The 8,676-nt window shown below is 46.0% G+C and overlaps 1 protein-coding gene across 1 annotated transcript in view; it reads right to left on the reverse strand.

The window, feature by feature from the left end:
• Positions 1-873, reverse strand: part of NEXMIF (neurite extension and migration factor) — a 192,597-nt gene extending 191,724 nt beyond the window's left edge. Inside the window, exon 1 of the mRNA NM_001008537.3 lies at positions 304-873. The gene's annotated coding sequence lies outside the window, so the exon portion shown is untranslated. The remainder of the gene's footprint in view (positions 1-303) is intronic.

The raw sequence follows: 8,676 nt of genomic DNA on the forward strand, positions 1-8,676 counted from the left end.
CGCGGCGGCTCCGGTCCGCTCGCTTCCCCTCCCCCCGCAACCCCCTTCCTACGGCGCAAGCACAGAGGCCTTTCCTAGATTGCAGTGCCTGTCAGGGCGAGCCGGGATCTCTCGCCCTAGCGGCCTCGCTCCCTCATACACAGACACACACATTCGCATACAGACGTCCTCCGTTCCGTTTTCCCTTCCTTCTCGTCTAGCTCGACTTACCCCAGTTCATTCCACCCCCTGCGGCCGCCACCCCGAGCCAGCCGGGGAGCCGGCGAGAAGGCCAGGAAGCTGTATGGCAGCGCTCCTACTCACCTCACAGGCCGACTCCCGAGGCGCACGTCGCTGGCGGGCTCAGGCAGCAGGCGCTGTAGCTAGCGCGGTCGCAGTCAAGGCTGGGCTGTCGCCGTCGCCGCAGCTGTTCGAGCTGCCTTAGCCGCCACCGCCGCTGCTACTGCTGCCGCCGCCGCCGCCGCCTCTGCCTCAGCTCCATACGCTGGGCCCGCCAGGTGGACGCGCCTCTCTCCTCGCTCGCTCCCTCAGGCTCCGCCGCCGCCGCGCTAGATGGAGTCAGAGCTGTCGGGCTCTGGCCCTGAAACTCAGAGCCTCCGCGGCTGCCCGGCTGCTCCAAGGGTCCGTGCTTCGCTTACACTGTCGCTCGCCCCGGCTGGAGCTACCTAGCGAGCGGGCTGCGCGCTCGGCGCCTGGAGCCCGCTCTGTGCGGTGGCTGCGGCCGTCCGCGAGAGGGAGAGAGGAGGGCGGCTGCTACTGTCGCTATAGCTGTTAAAGCTATTGCTAAATGCTGCTACTGCCGCTAATGCTACTGCTGTGGCGGCGGTGGTGGCGGCGGCGGCTGCTGCTGCTGCTGCTGATGCTACTGGTTTTCCTTCCCAGGTTCTTCCCCTGCCTCGTCCCCCCTCCTCCCCCTTCCTCCTCCTCCTCCTACTCCTCCTCCTCCTTCTCTTCCTCCTCCCTCTTCTCCTCCCTCTGCCGCTTTTCTCAGAGCCTCTGCAGGCACTGCCTGGTCCCCTCTTCTCCCGGAGCTGTCTCTGCCCATTCAGAAAGGTGCCCAGAGTGGGGCCGCCTCTGCTGCCACCATCGCTGTTGCCCCTGCCATTGTTTCCTCCAACACGGCTGTTCTTGCTGGACGCCTTCCCCCCTCTACCCTTCTTCCCCACCACAGCTCTCCCTTTCCCTCCCGCTCTCCTTACCCTCTCTATGGTCCCTTCCTTATGTGCCCCCCCAACTCTGTCCGTCTGTCCTTCCCTCCCCTCGGGCGCCCGGGAGCGCGCACTGCGCGGCCACCTGTCATAAAGGGCGCGCACCCCCCTTCCCCATTCCCACCCCGCCCCCCACTCGCGTTCCTGCTGCCCTTCCAGTCCACTACGCCAGTGGTGCGTTCTTCCCCTGGCAGACACGCAACCGGACACCACTCTCCCATGCCTTTTAGGGCAGTTGTGTGTGCGGAGAGGGGCACTCTGAAGTTTGGGGAAGAATATTTGAATGGTTTCATCCACCAAGCATCTAACCATTCAACCTTTACCTACTCTTAACTTAAGGGCCTGGGCCCCCAGGAAGGTGGGTCCTTTTTGAAGGGTTGGATGAAGGCAGACAATTGGGGAGTGACGTTTGGGGAATAAAGGAAAGAAGGGAAGCTGAATATGGCCAGGAAGGAAAACAGATCTGCCTGATGGCTGTCATTGAAAAATCTCTTAGGTGGTCATTTTCCTTCAGACGTCCTGGGAACTCAACAGGAAACAGCAAAACGATTGGAGAGCAACTCAGGAGGGACCATTTAGTACTTCTGGAGTCCTGGGTGCAAGGTTGAGGCCTGAGCCTCGGGAGATTTGTCACCACTAGGAGCCAAGGCAAGAGATGAAAAGGTTGGTACTAGAACAGAAGGGGTAAAAGTAGCTACTTTGTGTGCACTTGCTCCAACATCATTGCCAAAGCACAGCTTCTCCAGTCAGGCAGGGCCTCATTTCAGATTTCTTTGCTGCCACAGCTACAGCGTCATTTTGCTACGAGGGCTCAGGCTTTGAGATCTGATGTGTGCAACTTCTCACCATCACCTGTCACACAATCCCTCCCCAGAAACAGTGCAGAGGCGGGGGTATATTTTCTTTTCCCTGGCAAAGTACAGGAGATAAATGTTCCAGATATCCCATTGACAATAAGGTCTGGGTCACTTTACCAAGTTTGAGGCGCTCTACCATGGGTCTTTCATTCCTGGACAATAAACTGTCTGTATGGCTTTTACAACTCCCCATCTCTGTGCCTTTGTTTCTGTCATCCCACTTGCTTGAAACACTCTTGTTATTTCTCCCTCTCATTTTATATCTATGAAACTCATCCATAAATAATAGCTCATCCTGAAATAATTATACTTATTGGGTCCTTACTATGTGCCAGACACTGTGCTAAGCAATTTACATGAATTATTTAATCTTCACAACAAACACAATTTTACTATCTCCATTTTACAAATGAGAAAATCGAGTCACAAGGAAGTTAGGTATATGTGTCCTGAGGATAGGGATGATATGTTATTTATCTTGCATTTGTGAGACACTGTGCAAATATATTTGCATCTTTCAGGCACTGGAATAAATAAGAAGACAAAATTTGGCCTCTGTTCTCAAAAGCAAAAACAAACAAACAAAAAAGGTTAAACATGTAAAATGCCACCCATCTATTGGCTGGATCTCAATATCCAGAATGAATTGCTCTTTTTCCGTTGTCGGAAAGCACATTGTTTTCACCTGTATTAACTACATATGCTATTCTTCCTTTATAAAGTTAGTTGCTTATTTGTTACCAGTTATAATTTTTGTCAATGCCCTCCAGCCAAAAACTACCAGAAACACAACTGTAGTTGAACAATTTGGGTTTACTACTTGTTAGAGTGAGGGAGAACACACACCATGGGTGTTATGGGCTGATTTGCATTTCCCCAAAAATTCATATGTTGAAGCTCTGACTATTCCCAGTACCCCAGAATGTGACTGCTTGGAGATAGGGCCTTTGCAGAGGATACTAAGTTAAAATAAGGCCTTGAGAATGGGCCCTAATCTAATATGACTGAGGTCCTTATAAGAGGAGAAAATTAGGACACAGACAACACAAAAAGGCCATCTGCAAGCCAAGGAGATGGTGATCTCAGGAGAAACCAGACCTACTGACACCTTCATCTTGGACTTTTAACCTCCAGAACTGTGAGAAAATAAATCTCAGTTGTTTTAATCACTCAGTCTGTAATATTTTGTTATGGCAGCCAGAGCGAACTAATAAAACAGGAAATCATGGGGTGTCTCAGATAAAAGGTGGTAGAAAGGACTTATAGGATTTGGATTTTGGTTGGGTAATTGGGGGAGGGTTTAAGAAAGTGGGAATTAATTCTACATTGAATGCTCTCAGAAAGCAAGGGCAATTCTGTGACTGGGCATCTTAATAAATCTTATCTATTGGGAGGTAGACTAAAGTGGAGATAAGGCTTTTGTGGGTTTTTTGTCTGTGCTTAGACAAAATTATGAAGAGGCCTTGTTTTGTTTCATTTTGTCATGTTCTCAGTGTAACATTGTCTGATGTCAGTATTTTGTGAGAGTGTTTATGTCCATCAGGAGACCAGCCATGGCCTACCTGTGAGTGCCAGGTCATCTTCCAGGTGGCTTTTCTTCTTCTTTAAGACAGGTTTAAGTGTGACTACTTAACAATGTCCATTAGTTGTGTGGCTTTGGGCAAGTTACTTTACTTGTCTGTGCTTCAGTTTCCTCATTTATATTAATAATTGAGAAAAAAAATTGTGTTAACCATGGAGTTGTTATGGGAACTAAATGAAGGAATAAATATAATGTCCTCAGAACACTGCTTGGCACATAGGCAGCCTTCACTGAATGTGAGTTATTATCCATGTCTGTTTTCTCCAACAGACCATATAGCTTAAATTGCATATTATTATAGTTATATATTGGTACTTTCTCCTTTGCTAGGCCATGAGCTCCTTGAGGGCAGGGACAACGTGTACTGGCATGGTGATAATAGCTAACTTTTACTGAATGTTTTCAATGGGCCAGGCACAGATATTAACTGTAGTTACTCCATGAAAACTTTTGAGGGCCCATCCCTACCTTTAGACTAGCCTGGGCATTCTCTCTGTGCTCCCATAGCATTTGGGTTTACTGTAATCATTACACTTAGTATATGATACTGACACTGTCTGCTTATGTGTCTTCTTCCCTTTCTAGACTGTTCATTTATGAAGAGTAGAGCAGATACCTTCAACTTTGATGTCCATGTCTGAGCACAGTGCCCAGAACAACAGAGGCACTCAATATAAAAACACTGATTGGATTTTCAGTACGTTCTTTGCTTCTTCTAGAGCGGAACTCAAATCAGGCCTATCTTAGCCTCCATCATCCCTTTCCCTGGGGTTTTATTGTCTAAAAACATAACAGAGAATCTCAAATAGAGTGGTCCTCCCTGTAAGGCAGATCTAAAGAAGAGAATCACTGTGAGACTTCAATTCAAGAAGGTGCCATTTGGGAATAATTGGTCTCTGCTATTTAACAGTCAATGGTAGCATATCCATTAGACCAAAGGGGGGTAATGAAGTATGAGACCTGAACCTAGAATCTTGGGTGTTAACCTTAATTCAGCCATAAACAAACTGTGTGATGTTTAGAAAATTACCAAACCTCTCTGAACCATAGTTTTTCCATAGGGGGCATGGAGAACATAATCTCTCCACTGGCTAATAGATTAGATAACAAAGATTAAAGAGAGTTTACTGGAGTTTCTCTTTGGGAAAAACATTTCATTCCTCCATTACTTCCATGTTACATGCCTGCAAGATTCTCAGCCTCTGTAACTGGTATCATAAAATGGCTACATTCTTTCAGATGCCAGCCAAAAGCCAAGGGAGTTGTGGTTTTTGGCTTGCCATATCACCTCCCTATCGGCCCCACAACTCAGCCTGCTCCCAAAGAAGGGAGCTACAGTGTCTGTATATTTCTGGGGCATAACAGATGTTGACATTCTGGAGATAGATCCAGAAAGTTTCTTTCTATCATGCTGAGGCCAGACACAGGATGTCTTTCAGCCCAAACGTATGTTTTTAGCCCAGAAGGATAAAAGAAGGTGAATGACAGAAATAACATTATTATGGTATCATATGCATATACAAAAACTAGCATATTACTTATGAAAGAAACTACCATATTACTTTTCATATAATGTACCACTATTGTGCCCAGATACTATATAGTAATTATACTAATGGCCTCTGGCTGGGAGTTTATGGTGGCTTTCCCTGGTGAATTTCAAAGAATGGCCCAAAGGAACTGAAAGGAGGTTACAGAACTGAGAGGTCAACGAATCAAAATCAAAACAAGCATCGGCTGTTCCTCTTGTTTGAGGGGCAGCACCCAGGGCTCCATTTAAATACAGTGGAACTGACAAGCTGGCTCAATAATTCTCTCTTTTGTCCTAAACAGTATTAGAAAACTATAGCTTTCCTGACAATAGACAGATGTCTCATTTTTTCCCCTTACAGCAGCCCTTGGAGGGGTAAGGGGATCCCTATTCTATGAATTATTCGGCTAGTGTTTGATTTAGGCCCTGTATTAGGTCTCAGGAGGAGAAAACAGAGACAATTAAAGACACTTTTTTTTTTTTTTTTTTGCCTCAAAGGACTTTATAGTCTAGAAGGGGAAATGGAAACACAGGAAGGCAACACTCTCAGGCTGTGCAGATTCAGGGCTGAAAGAGAGGTGAGAAAAAGGGCTTCAGGATACCAAAGGAGTTTGGGAGTCCCTGAGCCTGCCCCAGGAGTGGTAGCCCGGGAAGAGAAGTATGACTGTACTAGGCAGTAAGGAGAAGAGCATATCAAGCATGAGGAAGAGCATGAGCTGAGGAAGTGCTGAGGCAGGATGATGAGCAATGTGTTTGGGAGTCGGTTGACATGTACAGCATGTCTGGAGCCAAGGGCTTGTTCAGTGGAGCAAGCAAAATTTGGAGGGGTTGGATGGGGCCACACATGAACGGCTTTGGAACTCTAGGATATATTAACCTTAAATTCTCACTCCGTACTTTATAAATGTGGAAAAGAAAGGTCATGGTCACACGGTAGATAGGTAGATATCTGAGAAAGTTACCCTTGATGTTCAGACGATAGGCAATGAATAACATTTATGATTTCTGATATACTTTCACACACATCATGTCTTCTGTTCATGACAATCTATTGAAACAAAGTGCCCCATAGCAGATATTCCCTTTCCTCCTACTTCCTTGAAGCCTTATAACAAACAAACAAACATAACCTGTTGATTGCACTCATTGTCCTATGGAGGTGGATCTGAGTTGTTGAGAGAGGAGGTAAATAGTAGGGCTCACAAATAGAGCCCAGATGAGCAAAGTGCTGGTTCCCAGAGTGTCTGGGGTGTCCTGCCCCCATTTGTCCAACATGCTCAGGTGCCTTGGCTGCTGTGTTCAAAGCTAGCCTGGACAAGGACAGCTCCTGCACTTGAGTACTTCTCCTCTCGGGGTGAGCCTTTGAAACATGCTGGGACAGGGTTGAGTGACTCAAAGTTTGGGAACTGAGATCTGGAGAAAACCACTTCCATCTTTAATTGCCAACAGCCATTGGAGAAGCCCCAGATGAAGCCAGGCCAAACAGCTCAGCACACAAGGCCCTGTAACACAGTTCTAGCCACAAGCCAAAGATGTTCGTGGCTTTGGCAGCACTGAGCAAGGTGGGAGCTGTGGTGGGTGTAGTGAGGAAATGTGTCCAGCCTTAGGACAGTACCATGGACAGAGATCAGCAGGCATCTTTAACCGGTTCCCACAGTGAAGTGCAGCCCTCCATCATGCAGCTGAATGCCTGGGTGACACTGCAGTTCTGTGGGTAATATATGGAGTGTGTGATGTGGGTTTTGGGCTTCTCAGAGTTGAATACCACCAGAGCACCCTGTACAGTGTGAGCTCTCTCTGTCAAGCACAGACTTACAGGCCTTATTCACTGTGGGAAGTATTAGTAATGGCACTTTCAACAGTGCCACTGTTGAAGATTTCAATGTAGTCTCATGGTTTGAGGAGGAGGCACACACTGAGCTCACCTAGCTCCAGAATCATCTGGTCCAGGATTTCTTGGACATGGTAACCTCTGCTCCCTTAAGTAAATGACCTCAAAAGACTCCTCTTCATGTGAAATCCAGTGTCTCAGAGTGTACCTCACTCCCCCATCCCCATCAAGCCAGGTAAAGGGGAGGAGGATTGAGCTGTATTATAGTAGAAAAATGCTAGAAGTGGAATTAAATAACATGGGGTTCTACCCTTTACTAATGTGATCCTGGGTGCGGTGGCTCATGCCTGAGATCTCAGCACTTTGAGAGGCTGAGGTAGAAGGATCGCTTGAGGCCAGAGGTTTGAGACCAGCCTGGGCGGTGTAGTGAGACCCCATATCATAAAAATAATAAATAAATAAATCCATAGTATTCTAATCTGTAAAAAAGGGGCCAATGATAATAATCCTATCTTACAGAGAACATGTGAGCAGTTCATGAGTTAAGGTGTATGAAAACGCCTGCAAAAGGCTTATATATAGAGGTATATAATAAATGTGTCTATTCATGCATATATTCCAGAAGCTCCTAAGATTTCCCATCCTGCAAGAAGGGTTTCCTAATTCATTGATGGAGGTATGTTTCCTTCTATCTATACTAGCAGTTCCTATGATATTCTCCTTTTACCCTGTTAAATAACTGCTGTTCCTGCTTATGTTGACAATGATGGTGATAGTGATAGTATAATGTGGATAACAATGACTGGCTGAGACCATAGAATACATAGTATGGGTAAAAGATAGTGAGAGAAGAAGAATACTTTAGGAAGGAAACAGAAGCTCTGGCTTGTTTGGAGGTCTGATCTTCCCTAAACTAGCCTCTTTGGGTCCATCTACATAGGCATTCATGCCAAATCCCTAAAAATATTGCACCAAAGATTCTTCAGCAAAAGGCATCCTAAGAAGCTTCTACCCTGAATAGGGGGTGTATTTCAAAAGTGAATGCATAACAAGCCAGGAAAAGAGATGATTCCATTAATCTAAAACAAATGCTTCCTGAGCATCTTTTTTGGCTACATACAAACCAATCCATTGGCATCTAGAAAATGTAGAGACAACATATACCCAGTGTGACTATCTGTTCAGAACAGTCCATGTGTGTCTTCAACTTTGCTAAATAACACATGGACACTCTCTACTTTATATCCCCATGTCTTTTCTCAGGAAATATCCTGCAAAGACCTTTGCACAAGTTCTTTGTTCTGCCTAGAATGTCCTTTCCTCCTCGGGTGATCTGCCCCTCACCTGCCAAAGCTTCGCTTGAATGCCACCTCCTCACTGAAGTGTTCCTTGACTTCCTACCCTTCCAAGAAGAATGAGTGGCTATTTCTTCTGGTCTCTTATGCATCTTGCATAAATCTCTATTAAAGAACTTATCTTTGTGTATTATATGTATTTGGGCATGTGTCTGCTCCCACATTGGACTGAGAATTTCTAGCTCTTGGAGGGTAGGGACCTTGCTGCCTTCTCTTTATCTTTTCATTCTTTAGGTACTGCCAGGCACTTACATTTGAAGAATAAAATGTCTTAATAAGTGAATGAGCTGGAGATTTCGTGCACACTCTTAC

This window comes from Homo sapiens, chromosome X (genome assembly GCF_000001405.40).
Source record: "Homo sapiens chromosome X, GRCh38.p14 Primary Assembly".
Taxonomy (NCBI): domain Eukaryota; kingdom Metazoa; phylum Chordata; class Mammalia; order Primates; family Hominidae; genus Homo; species Homo sapiens.